This window comes from Homo sapiens, chromosome 7 (genome assembly GCF_000001405.40).
Source record: "Homo sapiens chromosome 7, GRCh38.p14 Primary Assembly".
NCBI classification, from domain to species: Eukaryota; Metazoa; Chordata; class Mammalia; order Primates; family Hominidae; genus Homo; species Homo sapiens.
The window spans coordinates 32,684,643-32,709,989 of record NC_000007.14 but is presented as its reverse complement, the minus strand read 5'-3'; the positions used below and the strand labels follow the sequence as shown (position 1 = coordinate 32,709,989).

At 41.2% G+C, this 25,347-nt stretch overlaps 1 pseudogene across 1 annotated transcript in view, besides 4 other annotated features; it reads left to right on the top strand.

Moving 5' to 3' along the window:
- The window catches only part of DPY19L1P1 (DPY19L1 pseudogene 1), a 138,230-nt pseudogene that overhangs the window by 9,179 nt on the left and 103,704 nt on the right, over nucleotides 1–25,347 (top strand). The gene's annotated exons all lie outside the window — the stretch shown is intronic.
- Nucleotides 1,710–2,213: an enhancer, noted in NCBI's record as "H3K27ac-H3K4me1 hESC enhancer chr7:32747389-32747892 (GRCh37/hg19 assembly coordinates)". NCBI's record gives its function as "activates a minimal SCP1, AML or CMV promoter by ChIP-STARR-seq in naive H9 embryonic stem cells {active_cell/tissue: H9 hESC(naive)}" and the evidence as "EXISTENCE:reporter gene assay evidence [ECO:0000049][PMID:30033119]".
- Nucleotides 6,279–6,779: an enhancer, noted in NCBI's record as "H3K4me1 hESC enhancer chr7:32742823-32743323 (GRCh37/hg19 assembly coordinates)". NCBI's record gives its function as "activates a minimal SCP1, AML or CMV promoter by ChIP-STARR-seq in primed H9 embryonic stem cells {active_cell/tissue: H9 hESC(primed)}" and the evidence as "EXISTENCE:reporter gene assay evidence [ECO:0000049][PMID:30033119]".
- Nucleotides 6,780–7,280: an enhancer, noted in NCBI's record as "H3K4me1 hESC enhancer chr7:32742322-32742822 (GRCh37/hg19 assembly coordinates)". NCBI's record gives its function as "activates a minimal SCP1, AML or CMV promoter by ChIP-STARR-seq in primed H9 embryonic stem cells {active_cell/tissue: H9 hESC(primed)}" and the evidence as "EXISTENCE:reporter gene assay evidence [ECO:0000049][PMID:30033119]".
- Nucleotides 21,548–22,138: an enhancer, noted in NCBI's record as "NANOG-H3K27ac-H3K4me1 hESC enhancer chr7:32727464-32728054 (GRCh37/hg19 assembly coordinates)". NCBI's record gives its function as "activates a minimal SCP1, AML or CMV promoter by ChIP-STARR-seq in primed H9 embryonic stem cells {active_cell/tissue: H9 hESC(primed)}" and the evidence as "EXISTENCE:reporter gene assay evidence [ECO:0000049][PMID:30033119]".

The following is a 25,347-nucleotide window of genomic DNA, read 5'->3' as shown; positions in this document are numbered from 1 at the left end:
CAGGAGCTCTTTTAGGGCAGGCCTGGTGGTGACAAAATCTCTCAGCATTTGCTTGTCTGTAAAGTTTTTTATTTCTTCTTCACTTATGAAGCTTAGTTTGGCTGGATATGAAATTCTGGGTTGAAAATTATTTTCTTTAAGAATGTTGAATATTGGCCCCCACTCTCTTCTGGCTTTTAGAGTTTCTGCCGAGAGATCTGCTGTTAGTCTGATGGGCTTCCCTTTGAGGGTAACCCGACCTTTCTCTCTGGCTGCCCTTAACATTTTTTCCTTCATTTCAACTTTGGTGAATCTGACAATTAGGTATCTTGGAGTTGCTCTTCTCGAGGAGTATCTTTGTGGCATTCTCTGTATTGCCTGAATCTGAATGTTGGCCAGCCTTGCTAGATTGGGGAAGTTCTCCTGGATAATATCCTGCAGAGTGTTTTCCAACTTGGTTCCATTCTCCCCATCACTTTCAGGTACACCAATCAGATGTAGATTTGGTCTTTTCACATGGTCCCATATTTCTTGGAGACTTTGTTCTTTTCTTTTTATTCTTTTTTCTCTAAACTTCCCTTCTCGCTTCATTTCATTCATTTCATCTTCCATCACTGATACCCTTTCTTCCAGTTGATCGCATTGGCTCCTGAGGCTTCTGCATTCTTCACGTAGTTCTTGAGCCTTGGCTTTCAGCTCCATCAGCTCCTTTAAGCACTTCTCTGTATTGGTTATTCTAGTTACACATTCGTCTAAATTTTTTGCAAAGTTTTTAACTTCTTTGCCTTTGGTTTGAATTTCCTCCTGTAGCTCGGAGTAGTTTGATCGTCTGAAGCCTTCTTCTCTCAACTCGTCAAAGTCATTCTCCGTCCAGCTTTGTTCCATTGCTGGTGAGGAACTGCGTTCCTTTGGAGGAGGAGAGGCGCTCTGCTTTTTAGAGTTTCTAGTTTTTCTGCTCTGTTTTTTCCCCATCTTTGTGGTTTTATCTACTTTTGGTCTTTGATGATGAGTGATGTACAGATGGGTTTTTGGTGTGGATGTCCTTGCTGTTTGTTAGTTTTCCTCCTAACAGACAGGACCCGCAGCTGCTTGTCTGTTGGAGTTTGCTAGAGGTCCACTCCAGACTCTGTTTGCCTGGATAGCAGCAGCAGTGGCTGCAGAACAGTGGATTTTCATGAACCGCGAATGCTGCTGTCTGATCGTTCCTCTGGAATTTTTGTCTCAGAGGAGTACCTGGCCGTGTGAGGTGTCAGTCTGTCCCTCTTGGGGGGTGCCTCCCAGTTAGGCTGCTCGGGTCAGGGGTCAGGGACCCACTTGAGGAGGCAGTCTGCCCGTTCTCAGATCTCCAGCTGTGTGCTGGGAGAACCACTGCTCTCTTCAAAGCTGTCAGACAGGGATATTTAAGTCTGCAGAGGTTACTGCTGTCTTTTTGTTTGTCTGTGCCCTGCCCCCAGAGGTGGAGCCTATAGAGGCAGGCAGGCCTCCTTGAGCTGTGGTGGGCTCCACCCAGTTCGAGCTTCCCGGCTGCTTTGTTTACCTAAGCAAGCCTGGGCAATGGCGGGCGCCCCTCCCCCAGCCTTGCTGCTGCCTTGCAGTTTGATCTCAGACTGCTGTGCTAGCAATCAGCGAGACTCCGTGGGCGTAGGACCCTCCGAGCCAGGTGCGGGATGTAATCTCGTGGTGCACCGTTTTTTAAGCCCGTCGGCAAAGCGCAGTATTAGGGTGGGAGTGACCTGATTTTCCAGGTGCCATCTGTCACCCCTTTCTTTGACTAGGAAAGGGAACTCTCTGACCCCTTGCGCTTCCCGAGTGAGGCAAGGCCTCGCCCTGCTTCGGCTCGCGCACGGTATGCTGCACCCACTGTCCTGCGCCCACTGTCTGGCACTCCCTAGTGAGATGAACCCAGTACCTCAGATGGAAATGCAGAACTCACCCGTCTTCTGCGTCGCTCACGCTGGGAGCTGTAGACCGGAGCTGTTCCTATTCGGCCATCTTCCAACTTTAGAGTCTATTACTTTTGTCCTTTTAACATTTTCCTTACAGTCTCCCAGCCCCTTCTAATTTGAACTCAGCCACAACCTAATCTTTGTTTGGCTTCTTCCCTAATATGCAGATGGATGGCCCATATTACCTCCATGGTTTCCTAGTAAAATAAGTTATTAGGCAGGTAGTGCAACTCTTAAATTATCTTAATATGAGACAGTTGATATTCTTTTTCTCTGGTCTGTGATGTACTTCTATTAAAAAATAAACCCTGGGCCACACACAGTGGTTCACGCCTGTAATCACTGCACTTTGGGAGGCCAACACGAACAGAGAGCTTCAGCCCAGGAGTTTGAGACCAGCCTGGGCAACATGGCAAAACCCCGTCTCTACAAAAAATAGAAAAACTAGTTGGGCATGGTGGCATGAGCCTGTGATCCCAACTACTCAGGAGGCTGAGATGGGAGGATTGCTTGAGCCCGGGAAGGTTACAGTGAGCCATGATCACCCCACTGCACTCCACCCTGGGTGACGGAAGAAATGAACTGTATGTTTTCATGTTATATATTGAGAGGATAAGTCTGGAAATGTTACAAGTTGAGGAGGTAGGTTCCTACCCACAATACAAGAGAACAAAATGTAAGGAGTTGCTATTTTCTTCTTGTTGGAGGCATTCTCCCATCCTTTATGGTGAAAATATAGAAAGATTTGTCCAGTAAGTTGTTGAATGAATGACATGATGCTTTTTTTGTCTTTTTATTATTCTTTATTGGTTCTACCAATTTGACTCTTTACCCAGGCCACCTGTTGTTAGGCATGCAGGCTTTGTAGAAATTCACATATCGACATTACACTTGTAATATATAATTCTTTCACTTCAGAAAAATTGAGCAATTTAATACAACTCAAAAGAAGGTCAGAATTTCAGTTGCAAACTATTGAAAAATGACAGTAAGTAGAAGAGTGTCCATAAACATCAAAAAAATTCTGCCAAGGCTGCACTCAAAGGAAAATTTACTGTCTTCATTTTCAAGAATATTTTCAGTAGTAGACTGGAAAGAACATGAATTGACTAAGTTTTAAATTCAAGAATATCAAAGAAACAAAAAATCTAAGGAGAGAAAAGTTGAGATTTAACCAAATGTTCAGCTTACATGTTTTTTAAGCCTTCCTAGGTATTATTTTCTGTTTCTAGCTCTGTATGTCTTTGGCAAAGGTAAGTATTTATTACACACAACCTGCACAAGGTATTTTTAGATCTAAGTGATTCAGTTTAGAGTTTAACATCAATAGAAGCAAATTCACTGTTTAATGGGAGACTCCAGTTTTTGGTGGCAAGGTAATTATTGAATTGAGCTCATATGAAATTTACAAAGGGGAACTTTGTGTGTGCCATGAGGCATAAGAATCATTACAAGAAGGGAAATGGAACCTCCAAGATAATCTAAAGCTCAGTACTAAGGCCAGATGAGGATAGTTTGAGAAAGGATATTCTTATTTGTGAGCATAGATTCAAAATTTCACCTAGATTAAAAGCATTCCTTACACACAAAAGTATAAAAGATTAGTAACTCAAGAACAGCCATATATATGATAAAGATAATCCACTTGTGATAAATCTGGCTTATTCTAGGAATCCAAAGACATTTCTGGAAAATCCAAAAATGTAAGTTATCACACTAACAGATTAAAAGAGAAAAAATCTTATGATCATCCCATTAGATGCAGAAAATAAAATTGATAAAATTGAACATCCATTTATAATGAAAACATGTAACACAATAGAAATAACAGTTTTCTCAACCCAGTAAAATTCTTCAGCAGTCATTAGTCTTACTGATAATAAAGTATTTAGAGTGTTCTGTTTAAAATCAAGATAAAGATAAATGTGCTTTTTCACATTTTATTAAAGTCCAGGCCGGGTGCGGTGGCTCACGCCTGTAATCCCAGCACTTTGGGAGGCCGAGGCGGGTGGATCATGAGGTCAGGAGATCGAGACCATCCTGGCTAACAAGGTGAAACCCCGTCTCTACTAAAAATACAAAAAATTAGCCGGGCGCGGTGGTGGGCGCCTGTAGTCCCAGCTACTCGGGAGGCTGAGGCAGGAGAATGGCGTGAACCCGGGAAGCGGAGCTTGCAGTGAGCCGAGATTGCGCCACTGCAGTCCGCAGTCCGCAGTCCGGCCTGGGCGACAGAGCGAGACTCCGTCTCAAAAGAAAAAAATAAAAAATAAAAAAAAATAAAGTCCAAACTAGCCTAGTAATGCAAGAAAAGTAAATAATAGGAAAAGGAAAGAAACAGAAAGAAGGAAAATTTATTATAGTATCAATATTTACCTAGAAAGAATAAAATAATTGACAACTTATTAGGAATTAGAAGAATTCAATACCATGGCTAGATATGTTTAATATTCAAAAATCAATTGCATTTTTATTCTTTGGCAACAAACAGAAAACATATTTTTTAAAAATATGCCTTATGTATTAGGAAGAAAAATGCATAGGATCTGAATGAATCTAACAAAATACATATAGTATTTGTATGAAAATTTATTTTAATAATTCTAAGACATAAATAGAAAAATAAAACACATTTATGTGTATGAAGTTTCATGTAATGCAGTTCTCCCCAGCTGATGTTCAGATTCAAAGCAATTTCAGCAAGATTGTCTTGCAGGTCACTTTTCACTAAATGATGCTGGAATAGTCTATCTATATGAGAAAAACCATATGTTATACACAAATATCAGTTCTGGGCCTAGCCGTTTTGAATGTTCCTAAGCTGGATGTCTCTTTGACATGTCTTTATAAATTTATAATGCTCCAGGCTTTTCTTGATTTTCCTTGTGCTAGCCTTGGAATCAGCCATTTTTTCCAAGGAGCCCTGGTTCCTTTTAGAGGAGAATGGTATTTGGAAACCAAGACCTGAGTGGTATGTGCACTTATTACTACCAGTGTGTCCTTGTTTCTAGGCCCTTTCACTGCACGTATGTGCACACGTGTGTGTGTGTATGAAATCATGATTTCATAACTGTAGCTCCAATCCCAGCCCAATGCTATATAGAAAGGCAGACTAGTTAGGTACCTCAGAACTCACAGAAAAACACCACAGGCTGCCACCTCCTGAAACTCCATCCAGTGGCAGAAGACAATCAGAAAGAGGGTCCAGGGAAATGCTCTCCATCCTGTGGGTCTGGTATCTACTATTCCCTCCAGGGAGGCTGCCCATGCAGGTAGCAGCAGCGGAGATCTAACAGGTGCCCTGCTAGGACTAGGCACCCTAGGAAAGAGCCCTCTGCCCTCTGCCAACCCCCTACCCCACAGTCTGGTGTCTCTCACCCTCTATCCCATGGCAACAGGACATGGGAAATACATTCTTCCTGCATCGGCAGCATGATTTGGGGTGGAGACGGAGCACCAGGGCACCAGATGAATCAAGCTGACCACAATAGCACTAGCATTGCAAAGACTCTGAAAACTAAACTGTCATTGTAACTATAGCACACAGAAGTAGGCCAGGACTTGCGTGATAAACCTAAAAACAAAATGACTGTCTGCTGAAATAGAAATTTAAGATAGGATCCACAGTCTCTAACATAATATAAAAAATGTACTGGACACAATAGAAAAACCACTCATCATAGCAAGAATGGAGAAAACAACTTGAATGAGAAAAGACAACAAATGTCAACACTGAGATGAATAGGATGTGGGGATTATTCGACAAGGGTTTTAAAGCAGTCATCATAAAAACACTTCAATGAGCAGTTTTAAATACTCTGGAAGCAAATGAAAAGGCTATAAAATCTCACCACAGAATTTTTTTTTTTTTTAAAGAACAACTTGGTGATTATAGAACTGAAAAATACAATAACTAAAATTAAAATTCAGTAAATGGACTTGGTAGCGGAGTGAATATTACTGAGGAAGCAGTCACTGCTCTTGCAGATAGAACAATAGAAATCTCCCAATGTAAATTGAGAGAAAATCACAGGAAAAAGGACAGAGCCTCCGGGACCTATGGTGTAGTAACAAAAGATTTAATATTTGTATCATCAAAATTTCAGAAGGAATGGAAAAAGAGAGTGGGGCTGAATAGTATTTTAAGAAGTAATTGCTAAAAACTCCCCAAATTTGGTGAAAGACACACCTGCAGAGTGAAGACACTGAGCCATTCCCAAGTAAGACAAACCCAGAGAAATCCATGCCAAGATACATTATAAGTTAACTTTTAAAACGAAAAGAAAAAATCTTGAAAGCAGGTACGGAGAAATGACACATCACCTACAGGCAAAACTGACTTGAATTGTAGCAGACTTCTCATGTGAAATTAAGGAGGCCAGAAGGTTGTGGCAGAACATTGTCAAGATGAATTACATATCCAGTGGATGTTTCCCTTAGGAATGAAGGGGAAATAGACATTCTCCAATCAAGGAAAATTAAAATAATTTGTGGCTAGCAGAGAACCTTAAAGAATGGTTAAGGGGGAGGAGCCAAGATGGCCGAATAGGAACAGCTCCAGTCTACAGCTCCCAGCGTGAGCGACGCAGAAGACGGGTGATTTCTGCATTTCCATCTGAGGTACCGAGTGCATCTCACTAGGGAGTGCCAGACAGTGGGCGCAGGACAGTGGGTGCAGCATACCGTGCGCGAGCCGAAGCAGGGCGAGGCCTTGCCTCACTCGGGAAGCGCAAGGGGTCAGAGAGTTCCCTTTCCTAGTCAAAGAAAGGGGTGACAGATGGCACCTGGAAAATCAGGTCACTCCCACCCTAATACTGCGCTTTGCCGACGGGCTAAAAAAACGGTGCACCACGAGATTACATCCCGCACCTGGCTCGGAGGGTCCTACGCCCACGGAGTCTCGCTGATTGCTAGCACAGCAGTCTGAGATCAAACTGCAAGGCAGCAGCGAGGCTGGGGGAGGGGCGCCCGCCATTGCCCAGGCTTGCTTAGGTAAACAAAGCAGCCGGGAAGCTCGAACTGGGTGGAGCCCACCACAGCTCAAGGAGGCCTGCCTGCCTCTATAGGCTCCACCTCTGGGGGCAGGGCACAGACAAACAAAAAGACAGCAGTAACCTCTGCAGACTTAAATATCCCTGTCTGACAGCTTTGAAGAGAGCAGTGGTTCTCCCAGCACGCAGCTGGAGATCTGAGAAGAGGCAGACTGCCTCCTCAAGTGGGTCCCTGACCACCCAGCAACCTAACTGGGAGGCACCCCCAGCAGGGGCACACTGACACCTCACACAGCAGGTTATTCCAACAGACCTGCAGCTGAGGGTCCTGTCTGTTAGAAGGAAAACTAACAAAGAGAAAGGACATCCACACTGAAAACCCATCTGTACATCACCATCATCAAAGACCAAAAGTAGATAAAACCACAAAGATGGGGAAAAAACAGAACAGAAAAACTGGAAACTCTAAAACGCAGAGCGTCTCTCCTCCTCCAAAGGAACGCAGTTCCTCACCAGCAACAGAACAAAGCTGGATGGAGAATGACTTTGACGAGCTGAGAGAAGAAGGCTTCAGACGATCAAATTACTCTGAGCTACGGGAGGACATTCAAACCAAAGGCAAAGAAGTTGAAAACTTTGAACAAAATTTAGAAGAATGTATAACTAGAATAACCAATACAGAGAAGTGCTTAAAGGAGCTGATGGAGCTGAAAACCAAGGCTCGAGAACTACGTGAAGAATGCAGAAGCCTCAGGAGCTGATGTGATCAACTGGAAGAAAGGATATAAGCAATGGAAGATGAAATGAATGAAATGAAACGAGAAGGGAAGTTTAGAGAAAAAAGAATAAAAAGAAATGAGCAAAACCTCCAAGAAATATGGGACTATGTGAAAAGACCAAATCTACGTCTGATTGGTGTACCTGAAAGTGATGAGGAGAATGGAACCAAGTTGGAAAACACTCTGCAGGATATTATCCAGGAGAACTTCCCCAATCTAGCAAGGCAGGCCAACGTTCAGATTCAGGAAAGACAGAGAATGCCACAAAGATACTCCTCAAGAAGAGCAACTCCAAGACACATAATTGTCAGATTCACCAAAGTTGAAATGAAGGAAAAAATGTTAAGGGCAGCCAGAGAGAAAGGTCCGGTTACCCTCAAAGGGAAGCCCATCAGACTAACAGTGGATCTCTCGGCAGAAACCCTACAAGCCAGAAGAGAGTGGGGGCCAATATTCAACATTCTTAAAGAAAAGAATTTTCAACCCAGAATTTCATATCCAGTGAAACTAAGCTTCATAAGTGAAGGAGAAATAAAATACTTTACAGACAAGCAAATGCTGACCGATTTTGTCACCACCAGGCCTGCCCTAAAAGAGCTCCTGAAGGAAGCGCTAAACATGGAAAGGAACAACCGGTACCAGCAGCTGCAAAATCATGCCAAAATTTAAAGACCATCGAGACTAGGAAGAAACTGCATCAACTAACGAGCAAAATCCCCAGCTATCATCATAATGAGAGGATCAAATTCACACATAACAATATTAACTAAATATAAATGGACTAAATTCTCCAATTAAAAGACACAGACTGGCAAATTGGATAAAGAGTCAAGATCCATCAGTGTGCTGTATTCAGGAAACCCATCTCACGTGCAGAGACACACATAGGCTCAAAATAAAAGGATGGAGGAAGATCTACCAAGCAAATGGAAAACAAAAAAAGGCAGGGGTTGCAATCCTAGTCTCTGATAAAACAGACTTTAAACCAACAAAGATCAAAAGAGACAAGGCCATTACATAATGGTAAAGGGATCAATTCAACAAGAAGAGCTAACTATCCTAAATATATATGCACCCAATACAGGAGCACCCAGATTCATAAAGCAAGTCCTGAGTGACCTACAAAGAGACTTAGACTCCCACACAATAATAATGGGAGACTTTAACACCCCACTGTCAACATTAGATCAATGAGACAGAAAGTCAACAAGGATACCCAGGAATTGAACTCAGCTCTGCACCAAGCAGACCTAATAGACATCTACAGAACTCTCCACCCCAAATCAACAGAATATACATTTTTTTCAGCACCACACCACACCTATTCCAAAATTGACCACATAGTTGGAAGTAAAGCTCTCCTCAGCAAATGTAAAATAACAGAAATTATAACAAACTATCTCTCAGACCACAGTGCAATCAAACTAGAACTCAGGATTAAGAATCCCACTCAAAGCCGCTCAACTACATGGAAACTGAACAACCTGCCCCTGAATGACTACTGGGTACATAACGAAATGAAGGCAGAAATAAAGATGTTCTTTGAAACCAACGAGAACAAAGACACAACATACCAGAATCTCTGGGACACATTCAAAGCAGTGTGTAGAGGGAAATTTATAGCACTAAATGCCCACAAGAGAAAGCAGGAAAGATCCAAAATTGACACCCTAACATCACAATTAAAAGAACTAGAAAAGCAAGAGCAAACACATTCAAAAGCTAGCAGGAGGCAAGAAATAACTAAAATCAGAGCAGAACTGAAGGAAATAGAGACACAAAAAACCCTTCAAAAAATCAATGAATCCAGGAGCTGGTTTTTTGAAAGGATCAACAAAATTGATAGACCGCTAGCAAGACTAATAAAGAAAAAAAGAGAGAAGAATCAAATAGACACGATAAAAAATGATAAAGGGGATATCACCACTGATCCCACAGAAATACAAACTACCATCAGAGAATACTACAAACACCTCTACGCAAATAAACTAGAAAATCTAGAAGAAATGGATAAATTCCTCGACACATACACCCTCCCAAGACTAAACCAGGAAGAAGTTGAATCTCTGAATAGACCAATAACAGGAGCTGAAGTTGTGGCAATAATCAATAGTTTACCAACCAAAAAGAGTCCAGGACCAGGTGGATTCACAGCCGAATCCTACCACAGGTACAAGGAGGAACTGGTACCATTCCTTCTGAAACTATTCCAATCAATAGAAAAAGAGGGAATCCTCCCTAACTCATTTTCTGAGGCCAGCATCATTCTGATACCAAAGCCGGGCTGAGTCACAACCAAAAAAGAGAATTTTAGACCAATATCCTTGATGAACATTGATGCAAAAATCCTCAATAAAATACTGGGAGCCAAAGACAAAAACCACATGATTATCTCAATAGATGCAGAAAAAGCCTTTGACAAAATTCAACAACCCTTCATGCTAAAAACTCTCAATAAATTAGGTATTGATGGGACGTATTTCAAAATAATAAGAGCTATCTATGACCAACCCACAGCCAATATCATACTGAATGGGCAAAAACTGGAAGCATTCCCTTTGAAAACTGGCACAAGACAGGGATGCCCTCTCTCACCACTCCTATTCAACATAGTGTTGGAAGTTCTGGCCAGGGCAATTAGGCAGGAGAAGGAAATAAAGAGTATTCAATTAGGAAAAGAGGAAGCGAAATTGTCCCTGTTTGCAGACAAAATGATTGTATATCTAGAAAACCCCATTGTCTCAGCCCAAAATCTCCTTAAGCTGATAAGCAACTTCAGCAAAGTCTCAGGATACAAAATCAATGTACAAAAATCACAAGCATTCTTATACACCAACAACAGACAAACAGAGAGCCAAATCATGAGTGAACTCCCATTCACAATTGCTTCAAAGAGAATAAAATACCTAGGAATCCAACTTACAAGGGATGTGAAGGACCTCTTCAAGCAGAACTACAAACCACTGCTCAAGGAAATAAAAGAGGATACAAACAAATGGAAGAATATTCCATGCTCATGGGTAGGAAGAATCAATATCGTGAAAATGGCCATACTGCCCAAGGTAATTTACAGATTCAATGCCATCCCCATCAAGCTACCAATGCCTTTCTTCACAGAATTGGAAAAAACTACTTTAAAGTTCATATGGAACCAAAAAAGAGCCCGCATCGCCAAGTCAATCCTAAGCCAAAAGAACAAAGCTGGAGGCATCACACTACCTGACTTCAAACTATACTACAAGGCTACAGTAACCAAAACAGCATGGTACTGGTACCAAAACAGAGATATAGATCAATGGAACAGAACAGAGCCCTCAGAAATAATGCCGCATATCTACAGCTATCTGATCTTTGACAAACCTGAGAAAAACAAGCAATGGGGAAAGGATTCCCTATTTAATAAATGGTGCTGGGAAAACTGGCTAGCCTTATGTAGAAAGCTGAAACTGGATCCCTTCCTTACACCTTATACAAAAATCAATTCAAGATGGATTAAAGACTTAAACGTTAGACCTAAAACCATAAAAACCCTAGAAGAAAACCTAGGCATCACCATTCAGGACCTAGGCATGGGCAAGGACTTCATGTCCAAAACACCAAAAGCAATGGCAACAAAAGACACAATTGACAAATGGGATCTAATTAAACTAAAGAGCTTCTGCACAGCAAAAGAAACTACCATCAGAATGAACAGGCAACCTACAAAATGGGAGAAAATTTTCACAAGCTACTCATCTGACAAAGGGCTAATATCCAGAATCTACAATGAACTCAAACAAATTTACAAGAAAAAAACAAACAACCCCATCAAAAAGTGAGCAAAGGACATGAACAGACACTTCTCAAAAGAAGACATTTATGCAGCCAAAAAACACATGAAAAAATGCTCATCATCACTGGCCATCAGAGAAATGCAAATCAAAACCACTGTGAGATACCATCTCACACCAGTTAGAATGGCAATCATTAAAAAGTCAGGAAACAACAGGTGCTGGAGAGGATGTGGAGAAATAGGAATACTTTTACACTGTTGGTGGGACTGTAAACTAGTTCAACCATTGTGGAAGTCAGTGTGGCAATTCCTCAGGGATCTAGAACTAGAAATACCATTTGACCCAGCCATCCCATTACTGGGTATATACCCAAAGGACTATAAATCATGCTGCTCTAAAGACACATGCACACGTATGTTTATTGCCGCATTATTCACAATAGCAAAGACTTGGAACCAACCCAAATGTCCAACAATGATAGACTGGATTAAGAAAATGTGGCACATATACACCATGGAATACTATGCAGCCATAAAAAATGATGAATTCATGTCCTTTGTAGGGACATGGATGAAATTGGAAATCATCATTCTCAGTAAACTATCGCAAGAACAAAAAACCAAACACTGCATATTCTCACTCATAGGTGGGAATTGAATAATGAGATCACATGGACACAGGAAGGGGAATATCACACTCTGGGGACTGTTGTGGGGTGGGGGGAGGGGGGAGGGATAGCATTGGGAGATATACCTAATGCTAGATGACGAGTTAGTGGGTGCAGTGCACCAGCATGGCACATGTATACATATGTAACTAACCTGCACAATGTGCACATGTACCCTAAAACTTAAAGTATAATAACAAACAAGCAAACAAAAAAAAGAATGGTTAATTGAAGTTCTTTTGTCAGGTTTCTTGAAGACCAGATGGTCGTAGATATGTGGTTTTATTTCTGAGTTCTCTATTCTGTTCCATTGGTCAATATGCCTGTTTTTTACCATGACCATGCTGTTTTTGTTATTGTAGCCTTGTAATATAGTTTGAAGTCAGGTAGGCTGAGGCCTCTAGCTTTGTTCTTTTTGCTTAGGATTGTCTTGGCTGTATGAGCTCTTTTTTGATAGCGTGGAAGCAACCCAAATGCCCATGAGTGATAGACTGGATAAAGAAAATATGGTACATATATACCATGGAATATTTTGCAGTCATAAAAAGAAATGAGATCATGTCCTTGGCAGGGACGTGGATGGAGCTGGAAGCCATTATCCTCAGTAAACTAATGCAGGAACAGAAAACCAAACACTGCATGTTCTCACTTACAAGTGGGAGCTGAACAGTGAGAACACACGGACACTGGGAGGGGAACAAAACACACTGGGGCTTGTCAGGGGAGGGTATGGGGAGGGAGAGCATCAGGAAAAATAGCTAATGTATGCTGGGCTTAATACCTAGGTAATAAGTTGTTAGGTGCAGCAAACCACCATGGTACGCGTTTACCTATGTAACAAACATGCACATCCTGCACATGTATCCCTGAACTTAAAATTTAAAAATTCTGAAAACAAAAAGGAAATGAAAGAAGGAATCCTAGAATATAGAGAAGAAATATAAAACGCAAAATAGATACACAGAGGGGTAGATATAATAGACTATTCTTCTCATGAGTATTTCCTTTAGTATACTTTTTTTGCTTTATTTTGTTATTTATTTAGATTTTTAAGTCAAGAATTTAATTCATTTATTTTCACTCTTTCATTTTTATTGATAAAGCTTTTGAGGCCATGAATTTGCTTCTTATCCTTGCTTTAAATGTCTTCCTTAGTTTGCATATGGAAATGGTATTGCCTGCCATGCTGATGCCATCATTCTATTTTTCACCTTTCTGAATCTGTTTGTATTTGTCTTCCCTGTGTAGCATAAGTTGAGTCTGTCTTTGCTTTGTGAGATAATGTGAGAACCTTTGTTGTAAGTTTTATGTGTATTTGACTATATTTGCTTTGTTTCTGTATATGATTCTCTTTTAAACTTTTTGTATTTGAGAAGGTTACTATTATTTCCTCAATTATTGCATATTTGAAACTTTTTTTATAACATCTATACTTGAATGACAGATTGGCTAGATATAAAATCCTTGGTTCTCCCTTTTTTTTTTGAGATGGAGTCTTGCTCTGTCGCCCAGGCTGGAGTTCAGTGGCACGATCTTGGCTCACTGCAGCCATAAAAAATGATGAGTTCATGTCCTTTGTAGGGACATGGATGAAACTGGAAACCATCATTCTCAGCAAACTATCACAAAGACCAAAAACCAAACACGGCATGTTCTCACTCATAGGTGGGAATTGAACAATGAGAACACATGGACGTGGGAAGGGGAACATCACACACCGGGGACTGTTGTGGAGTGAGGGGAGGGGGGAGGGATAGCATTAGGAGATACACCTAATGCTAAATGACGAGTTAATGGGTGCAGCATGCCAACATGGCACATGTATACATATGTAACAGACCTGCACGTTGTGCACATGTACCCTAAAACTTAAAGTATAATAATAATAAAAAGAAAATAAGTCGTTATTACCTAATAAGTTTTAAGGTATATAGTGTCTGCAATTTATAGTTTCACCCTAAAGAAATATTGGTACAAATATACCAAGGAAACCAATTACATGAATCTTCATGGAAGCATTATTTGTACCTGAGAAAAAAAAGCTGAAAACAACTCAAAGGCCCACCAACAGAATGGATAAAATGAATATTTCCATACAAAGTAATATTGTAAATGAGTGAATGTGATCTACAGTCAAAAGTGTCAGCGGGAACCAATGTCAAATAGACTGTTAAAGATAAAAAACTAAGTCATCAAAGGGGATGAGTGTGCATGTCAATATATATGCCATTTACATATGCCCTAAAAACAAACAAGACAACAATATTATAGAAGATATAGTGTGGCAAAACAGCGAAAGCATAGGCATAGTTAATTCAAAACAGGCTGGTGATCACTTCTAGGAAAGAATGCAATACAGGAGAAGCCCTGGGTGCTTCAATGTTAATATTCAATTTCTTGGTGTTAAGTATACAAGTGTTCATTTTATAATTCTTTAAAATATGTGTGTATATATGTATATAATGCTTATATATTTATACTCTTCAAAGTAGGGCTTTGATTCCTCATCAGTGGTTCTTAAACCTCATGTTCTCTTTAGGTAGCTCTGGGTGCTTAAATAAGCACCAAGAATTGTTCTGATGACACGTCTAGCTATTCAAATACATGTTCAAATTGTAGATTTTATTGTTTCCATTTGTGCAATGAATTTTTTTCCTTCCAACTTCTATTTTAGGTTCAGGGGTACATTTGCAGGTTTGTTATATAGGTAAATCACATGTCATGGGGTTTGGTGTACAGATTATTTTGTCACCCAGGTAATAAGCATAGTACCTGATAGGTATTTTCTCAGTCCTCACTCTCCTCCCACCCTCCACCCTCAAGTAGGCCCTGGTGCCTGTTATTCCCTTCTTTTTGTCCATGTGTGCTCAATGTTTAGCTCGTACTTATAAGGAGCACATACAGTATTTGGTTTTCTGTTCTGTGTTAGTTCACTTAGGAAACTGGCCTCCAGCTCCATCTGTGTTGCTACAGAGGACATGATCTCATTCTTTTTATATGGCTGTATAGTATTCCATGGTATATATGTACCATATTTTCTTTATCCATTCCGCCGTTGATGGGCATTTAGGTTGATTCCATGTCTTTGCTATTGTGAATAATGCTGCAATGAACATACGTGTATATGTGTTTTTATGGTAGAACAATTTATATTCCTTTGGGTATATATCCAGTAATGGGATTGCTGGGTTGAATGATAGCTCCATTTTAAATTCTTTGAAAAATCTCCAAACTGCTTTCCACGGTGGCCAAACTGGTTTACATTTCTACCAGCAGTGTATAAGTGTTCTCTTTTCTCCAAAACTTCACCAGCATCTTTTTTTTTTTAAACTTTTTCATCATAGCCATTCTGACTGGTGTGAGATGGCATCTTACTGTGGTTTTGATTTGCATTTCTCTAATGATTAGTGATGGTGAACATTTTTTCATATGCTTGTTGCCTACATGCATGTCTCCTTTTGATAAGTGTCTGTTCACATTTTTTGCCCATTTTTAATGAGGCCGTTTGTTTTTGCTTGTTGGTTTAAGTTCCTTTTAGGTACTGGATATTAGACCTTTGTCAGATGTGTAGTTTGCAGGTGTTTTCCCCCATTCTGTAGGCTGTGTGTTTACTCTGTTGTTAGTTTCTTTTACTGTGCAGAACCTCTTAGTTTTGTTAGATCCCATTTGTCAATTTTTGTTTTTGCTGCAATTGCTTTTGGCATTTTCATCATGAAGTCTTTGCCAAGGCCTATGTCCATGGCCTTTCCTATTTTCTTCTAGGTTTTTTATAGTTTTCAAGTCTTTCATCCATCTTGAGTTGATTTTTGTATATTGTGTAAGGAAGGAGTGGTATAGCTTCTTAAAAATTACTGGATTGTGTTTCATAGGGTTTTGAAAAAAAGATGTCATTCATAGAAATTGCATTAAAATTGACATATCTCAGGATGTGTTTCTTCATCTGTACATAGGTGATAATAACTACCTCATAGAATTATGAGGATCAAGCAAGGTGTTCCAAGTCAATGTGCATTATTAAGGGCTACACATGTGATCCATTTTAATACCACCAGACAATAGACCAACTTTGAATTGGATGTTAATAAAAAAGCTATGATGTATTCGTAATCCAGAAGAGCAATAGGATTATTTATATTTGACTTCGAATAATTTTTTGAGGAGCTTTTGCAGCTACTGACTTCCTTAGTATGCTTGCCTGAGATTAAAATATATACTGACTTCCTTATTATGCTTTTCTGAGATTAAAATTCTTTTATATCCTTTGAGCACATATAGATAATGGCCTTTACTTTTAAAATTTTCATCCAAGAGATACATATAACTCATATATAAATATCGAGATTATTCAGATGAAGCTGCAAAGCCAGTTCATGGAATATACTGGATTGAATCATATCCAAGAACGTATGAATTTTATTTAAAAAGCACCTCAGCTATTGAAAAGAGCAAGCCTGTTTACACAGCTTCACACAGACCTAAGAAATACAATGGGGATCATACATATGAGAGTTATTTCTTTAATAAGGATGGTGTGGCAGCCACAAAAGTACACAACCTCTAGGGTATTCCTCTGAGAACCTGCTGCCCAGCTGCAGGGAACAGAGTTAACTGACAGCCTTCAACTGTAGAGCCATCAGCATCTGCATGGCATTCACGCTGGACCACATTCTTCTTCCTAGGCAACCCCCAGCCAATGACTGAGCAAGGAAGATATACTAGTCTGTTCTCACATTGCTCTAAGGAAATACCCAAGACTGGGTAATTTATAAAGGAAAGAGGCTTAATTGACTCACAGTTCAGCATGACTGGGGAGGCCTCAGGAAACTTACAATCATGGCAAAAGGTTAAGGGGAAGCAAGCCACCTTCTTCACAAGGTGGCAGGAAGGAGAAATGAACGCAGGAGAAACTACCAAACACTTACAAAATCATCAGCTCTCGTGAGAACTCACTATCAGGAGAACAGCATGGGAGAAAACACCCCCATGATTCAATTATATCCACCTGGTCTCTCCCTTGACTTGTGGGGATTATGGGGATTACAATTGAAGATGAGATTTTGGGTGGGGACAGAGCCAAACCAGATTAGAAGGGTACTGTAGGGCCTGGCTGTTTCAGCCCAATGCTGAACTGCTTCATCAGGCAATCTTTGCTCTGAAGCTGCTCACTGAGCAAGCCAAGCCCTGGTCAGCTGTCCTTTGCAGCTGGAGGCTCTCCTGCTTTCTTCCTCTTTCATAGATGTCAACAGGCCTCACAGCTGAAGGCTTTACCCACCCAATCCTGTTCCCCCTCTTCTAACAGCTATGAAACCTTCCTAGTTTCACCCCTTCACCCGTTCCAGTTTTACATAAGTTTTCCTCACTACACAGAGATGGTGTGGTGCCACCAAGATCATTATTCATTTTACAACCTTACTGGGATCCCCTGATGAAATCCCTCTGAGACTACAGCACAGTAGCCCCTGGCAGAAGAGAGGACCCTGTACCTACAAGATGCCTTGCCTATCTCAGAGATCCAGACCATTGTCAGATTTTAGAGTTCCTAGTATGGAGAAAAGTCCCTTGAGAACAGTAGAGCCTGGATTGAACTCTTTTAAAATAAGTAGGAGGTAGGCGCTTGTGGTCCCAGCTACTCGGGAAGCTGAGGCAGGAGGATCGCTGGAGCCCATGATGCAGAGAGACACGATTGCGCCACTGCACTGCAGCGTGGGCAACAGAGTGAGACTGTCTCAAGAGAAAAAAAAAAAAAGTGACAGTGTGCAAAATGTTCATTTTATGTATACTTAGTGCCATCTGCTGGCTATGAAATATGATAGCATTTGTCATGAAATTACAAAAAGTGTTAAGGTGCTAGTTTGCACATGTTTTAATAGAAAATGGGAGAAAGCAAGAGAACTCAAGGGACATGTATTACACTTGTTTTAGTTTTGTTTGAGTTGTGATGATCTCAGTGGCTCTTCTCTCCCTCACCCACCCACCTCTCCTGTTTGTTCAATCTCTCTCCCTCCTCTGGTGCCTTAAAAGGGTCTCCATGCTTTGCATCCCACCTCCGCTCCAGGATCAGGGACCCACCTGACATCACACCTTTTGCTTCAGCAACAATAAATTGCTGGAAATTTCCAGCAACTCTTTTTCCTGCCAGTGCTCCCACTGTACCCTTGTCTGTTAAGGTCTTAACCTGTCTTCCTCCCACACCTCTGCCTCTCACCTGCTCAGATGTCCCCTCCTGCCAGCAGCCAGTCCCGAACATCCCCTCTGTGATCTGCTAATGCCACTCCACCTGTCACACAGTTTGATCATTTAAAAATGATCTGTTTTCCTTTGAAGTCTTTTATTGAACTCTGAATTACTTAATAAAAGGGTTTGTATATTATTTATTCCTGTTTTCCACCCGACACAGTACCTGGAACATAGCAGATGCTCAGCAAACATTGCACCAAAGAATAAGGTGGAAAATAAATGGTTAAAATATACAAACATTTTAAAGATAGGGTATTTGGGTCACTTTTACTGCTTTCTGTCCCTACAATATGGCTGAATCATCCCCCATATGGCTCAACATTTTATTAATTCTTTTTAAAGTACCCAACACTATATTGAGTGCTCTGGGGATCAAAATAATAGTATATATATTAAGAGTGGGTTTGAATCCCTGCTCTACCATTTACTAGCTGGGCAATTTATTTAACATTTTAAAATTTCATCATCTGTAAAGTGGAAATATTAAAGGTATCTTCTTCAAAAGTGACATTTGGAAGAAAAAAATAAAGTAATACATGTAAAGCATATGAGATTCAGTAAGCACTCGGTTAGTGGTGAGTTGTTTTTGTGGTTATTGCTAAGACCCAGGAACTCATTGTTTGAAGATCAGCATAGAGCACTTACTGGTTGGGTGGGATTTCTGTTCTCTACTCAATGGTTTGTTTATTCTTTAGAGACTGTCCGTCCCCTCTAGAGTCTATTAGTAATATTTTGTTATGCCAATTTAGGGGAGTTTTACTATCATGCTGTTTCTCTAATAATAGCTAATTTATATCTTTAATTTTTAAAAGCCATTATGCTGGAAACAGAACATTCATACAAACAATACATGAATGAATGTAGGTTAACAAAATAGCTGGTTACTATAATGTAGTGGTATTCCATGGCTTTAAGTTTAAAAATAACTTTGCATTTACTACAGTGGACTTACCCTCCAGGCATAAAATTTTAAAACCCAACAACTCCAGGCCTCCAGAGTCTTTACTTCCCACTAACTTCTCACCAGTGAAGGCGAAGCTAATGAAAAAGGATAGATGACTGCTTCTCAATTGGAAATGGATCCAAATACCATCAAGGGAATTGGTGTTTGGTGTACAGATTTTACCTACTGTCACAGCCTGGTTGGGTGGAGGATGGGGAAGGTGGTGGTATCTGTCTACTTTTAGAGTTTGTAAATGTTTCTCTGAATTCCTGTTTTTATAGCAGATAATTTTGAGAAAATTTTGCCTTGAAAAAGAGTCTGAAACCAAAAAGCTAAACAGAGGCAAAGGTTTGTGGCTTGGATCTTTAATATTAATAAGTTTATTGCTTTTTCCTACCTCCCACTCCTGCTACCTGAAGAAGGTGAGTAGGAGGGGAGGGATGGTGAAAGATGAGGGATGTGGAGGGAAAAGGACGTAAGTGGGGGTTGGGTAGATGACAGATAGTGGCTGTCTGCCTGCCACCCATCTAGGTATGCCCCAAAGGGTGGTCTCTGCTTTTGCCCACAGGGGACTCATTCACACAGAAAGGAAGATGACAGACAATTGGCCAGAACATAGAGCACTGAAGTGAAACACAAAGGCCACTCTTGGGCCTCTGTTAGTTTCTTCTGGGATCTTTCTTCTTGATCTGCAGATGAGTGTTTTCTCCCTGTGTCTTCACATGATCTTTCCTCTGTGCCTGTTGTGTCCTAATCTCCTTTTCATATAAATTCACAATTGAGCACAAAACTCCTATTTAATACCATATGTTGGAATAAAAAGCCTTATAGCAATGCATAGTGATAGAAATTCTTTTCTTTAAAACTTAGTTTGACTATTTTGCAGTAATGAAAAATGGTCCTGACATACAGAATGCCATCTAGCTTACAACTGCATGGGGCATGCAGAAGAAAGAGATGAACAATCTTTACCTGAAAAGAGACCACCCTCTCCTTTAATGGGAGTGGAAATTAAAGAATAATGCTCATAGTTTGCTGCAAACACTATTGCTCAATTTAATACTCTAATGGAATTCACACATTTCTTTTTCTACAGTGTGTGTCCAATCATTGTTAACTATACCTTTATTATCTTTATAATGTTGAGGTAAAGAGCTTTCTGCTATTATGCATTAATAACTCCATCCCTAATGCCATCATGGTTCTCGTGTCTAGGGAAGGAGTCTGTATTTGTCCGTTTTCACACTGCTATAAAGAATACCATTAGGCCAGGCGCAGTGGCTCACGCCTGTAATCCCAGCACTTTGGGAGGCCGAGGCGGGCGGATCACGAGGTCAGGAGATCGAGACCATCCTGGCTAACACAAGTGAAATCCCGTCTCTACTAAAAATACAAAAAAATTAGCCAGGCATGGTGGCGGGTGCCTGTAGTCCCAGCTACTCGGGAGGCTGAGGCAGGAGAACGGCGTGAATCCAGGAGGCGGGGCTTGCAGTGAACTGAGATTGCGCCACTGCACTCCAGCCTGGGCAACAGAGTGAGAGTCTTACCTCAAAAAAAAAAATACCACCAGAGACTGGGTAATTTATAAAGAAAGGAGATTTAATTGACTCACAGTTCTGCATGGCTGGGAAGGCCTCAGGAAATTCACAATCATTGTGGAAGACAAAGGGGAAGCAAGGCACATCTTATATAGCAGCAGGTGAGACAGAGAGAGAGAGAGAGAGAGAGAACGAACCAGGAAGTGCCACACTTTAAAACCATCAGCTCTCATGAGAACTCACTCACTATCATGAGAACCGCATGGGGGAAACCACCTCCATGATGCACTCAATTCCCACCAGGTTCCTCCCTTGACACCTGAGGATTACAATTCGAGAGGAGATTTTGGTGGGGACACAGAGACAAACCATATTATTTCAAAGTTCCACAGGTCTCTAGACCAGGTGCAAAATGCTGCCAGTCGGAGGAGCCAAGATGGCCGAATAGGAACAGCTCCGGTCTACAGCTCCCAGCGTGAGCGACGCAGAAGACGGGTGATTTCTGCATTTCCATCTGAGGTACCGGGTTCATCTCACTAGGGAGTGCCAGACAGTGGGCGCAGGTCAGTGGGTGCGTGCACCATGCGCGAGCCGAAGCAGGGCGAGGCATTGCCTCACTTGGGAAGCGCAAGGGGTCAGGGGGTTCCCTTTCTGAGTCAAAGAAAGGGGTGACGGACGGCACCTGGAAAATCGAGTCACTGCCACCCTAATACTGCGCTTTTCCGACGGGCTTAAAAAACGGCCCACCACGAGATTATATCCCCCACCTGGCTCGGAGGGTCCTTACCCCACGGAGTCTCACTGATTGCTAGCACAGCAGTCTGAGATCAAACTGCCAGGCAGCAGCGAGGCTGGGGGAGGGGCGCCCGCCATTGCCCAGGCTTGCTTAGGTAAACAAAGCAGCCAGGAAGCTCCAACTGGGTGGAGCCCACCACAGCTCAAGGAGGCCTGCCTGCCTCTATAGGCTCCACCTCTGGGGGCAGGGCACAGACAAACAAAAAGACAGCAGTAACCTCTGCAGAGTTAAATGTCCCTGTCTGACAGCTTTGAAGAGAGCAGTGGTTCTCCCAGCACACAGCTGGAGATCTGAGAACGGGCAGACTGCCTCCTCAAGTGGGTCCCTGACCCCTGACCCCCGAGCAGCCTAACTGGGAGGCACCCCCCAGCAGAGGCACACTGACACCTCACATGGCAGGGTACTCCAACAGACCTGCAGCTGAGGGTCCTGTCTGTTAGAAGGAAAACTAACAAACAGAAAGGACATCCACACCAAAAACCCATCTGTACATCACCATCATCAAAGACCAAAAGTAGATAAAACCACAAAGATGGGGAAAAAACAGAACAGAAAAACTGGAAACTCTAAAAAGTAGAGCGCCTCTCCTCCTCCAAAGGAACGCAGTTCCTCACCAGCAATGGAACAAAGCTGGATGGAGAATGACTTTGAGGAGCTGAGAGAAGAAGGCTTCAGACGATCAAATTACTCTGAGCTACGGGAGGACATTCAAACCAAAGGCAAAGAAGTTGAAAACTTTGAACAAAATTTAGAAGAATGTATAACTAGAATAACCAATACAGAGAAGTGCTTAAAGGAGCTGATGGAGCTGAAAACCAAGGCTCGAGATCTACGTGAAGAATGCAGAAGCCTCAGGAGCCGATGTGATCAACTGGAAGAAAGGATATCAGTGATGGAAGATGAAATGAATGAAATGAAGCGAGAAGGGAAGTCTAGAGAAAAAAGAATAAAAAGAAATGAGCAAAGCCTCCAAGAAATATGGGACTATGTGAAAAGACCAAATCTACGTCTGATTGGTGTACCTGAAAGTGATGGGGAGAATGGAACCAAGTTGGAAAACACTCTGCAGCATATTATCCAGGAGAACTTCCCCAATCTAGCAAGGCAGGCCAACGTTCAGATTCAGGAAATTCAGAGAACGCCACAAAGATACTCCTCGAGAATAGCAATTCCAAGACACATAATTGTCAGATTCACCAAAGTTGAAATGAAGGAAAAAATGTTAAGGGCAGCCAGAGAGAAAGGTTGGGTTACCCTCAAAGGGAAGCCCATCAGACTAACAGCGGATCTCTCGGCAGAAACCCTACAAGCCAGAAGAGAGTGGGGGCCAATATTCAACATTCTTAAAGAAAATAATTTTCAACCCAGAATTTCATATCCAGCCAAACTAAGCTTCATAAGTGAAGAAGAAATAAAATACCTTACAGACAAGCAAATGCTGAGAGATTTTGTCACCACCAGGCCTGCCCTAAAAGAGCTCCTGAAGGAAGCACTAAACATGGAAAGGAACAACCGGTACCAGCTGCTGCAAAATCATGCCAAATTCTAAAGACCATCAAGGCTAGGAAGAAATTGCATCAACTAAAGAGCAAAATAACCAGCTAACATCATAATGACAGGATCAAATTCACACATAACAATATTAACTTTAAATGTAAATGGACTAAATGCTCCAATTAAAAGACACAGACTGGCAAATTGGATAAAGAGTCAAGACCCATCAGTGTGCTGTATTCAGGAAACCCATCTCACGTGCAGAGACACACATAGGCTCAAAATAAAAGGATGGAGGAAGATCTACCAAGCAAATGGAAAACAAAAAAAGGCAGGGGTTGCAATCCTAGTCTCTGATAAAACAGACTTTAAACCAACAAAGATCAAAAGAGACAAAGAAGGCCATTACATAATGGTAAAGGGATCAATTCAACACGAAGTGCTAACTATCCTAAATATATATGCACCCAATACAGGAGCACCCAGATTCATAAAGCAAGTCCTGAGTGACCTACAAAGAGACTTAGACTCCCACACATTAATAATGGGAGACTTTAACACCCCACTGTCAACATTAGACAGATCAATGAGACAGAAAGTTAACAAGGATACCCAGGAATTGAACTCAGCTCTGCACCAAGCGGACCTAATAGACATCTACAGAACTCTCCACCCCAAATCAACAGAATATACATTTTTTTTCGGCACCACACCACACCTATTCCAAAATTGACCACATAGTTGGAAGTAAAGCTCTCCTCAGCAAATGTAAAATAATAGAAATTATAACAAACTATCTCTCAGACCACAGTGCAATCAAACTAGAACTCAGCATTAAGAATCTCACTCAAAACCGCTCAACTACATAGAAACTGAACAACCTGCTCCTGAATGACTACTGGGTACATAACGAAATGAAGGCAGAAATAAAGATGTTCTTTGAAACCAACGAGAACAAAGACACAACATACCAGAATCTCTGGGACGCATTCAAAGCAGTGTGTAGAGGGAAACTTATAGCACTAAATGCCCACAAGAGAAAGCAGGAAAGATCCAAAATTGACACCCTAACATCACAATTAAAAGAACTAGAAAAGCAAGAGCAAACACATTCAAAAGCTAGCAGGAGGCAAGAAATAACTAAAATTAGAGCAGAACTGAAGGAAATAGAGACACAAAAAACCCTTCAAAAAATCAATGAATCCAGGAGCTGGTTTTTTGAAAGGATCAACAAAATTGATACACCGCTAGCAAGACTAGTAAGAAAAGAGAGAAGAATCAAATAGACGCAACAAAAAATGATAAAGGGGATATCACCACCGATCCCATGGAAATACAAACTACCATCAGAGAATACTACAAACATCTACACAAATAACCTAGAAAATCTAGAAGAAATGGATAAATTCCTTGACACATACACCCTCCCAAGACTAAACCAGGAAGAAGTTGAATCTCTGAATAGACCAATAACAGGCTCTGAAATTGTGGCAATAATCAATAGCTTACCAACCAAAAAGAGTCCAGGACCAGATGGATTCACAGCCGAATTCTACCAGAGGTACAAGGAGGAACTGGTACCATTCCTTCTGAAACTATTCCAAGCAATAGAAAAAGAGGGAATCCTCCCTAACTCATTTTCTGAGGCCAGCATCATGCTGATATAAAAGCCAGGCAGAGACACAACCAAAAAGAATTTTAGACCAATATCCTTGATGAACATTGATGCAAAAATCCTCAATAAAATACTGGCAAACCGAATCCAGCAGCACATCAAAAAGCTTATCCACCATGATCAAGTGGGCTTCATCCCTGGGATGCAAGGCTGGTTCAATATACACAAATCAATAAATGTAATCCAGCATATAAACAGAATCAAAGACAAAAACCACACGATTATCTCAATAGATGCAGAAAAGGCCTTTGACAAAATTCAACAACGCTTCATACTAAAAACTCTCAATAAATTAGGTATTGATGGGACGTATCTCAAATTAATAAGAGCTATCTATGACAAACCCACAGCCAATATCATACTGAATGGGCAAAAACTGGAAGCATTCCCTTTGAAAAACTGGCACAAGACAGTTTTCAAAGGAAAACTTTGAAACCTCTATCACCACTCCTATTCAACATAGTGTTGGAAGTTCTGGCCAGGGCAATTAGGCAGGAGAAGGAAATAAAGGGTATTCAATTAGGAAAAGAGG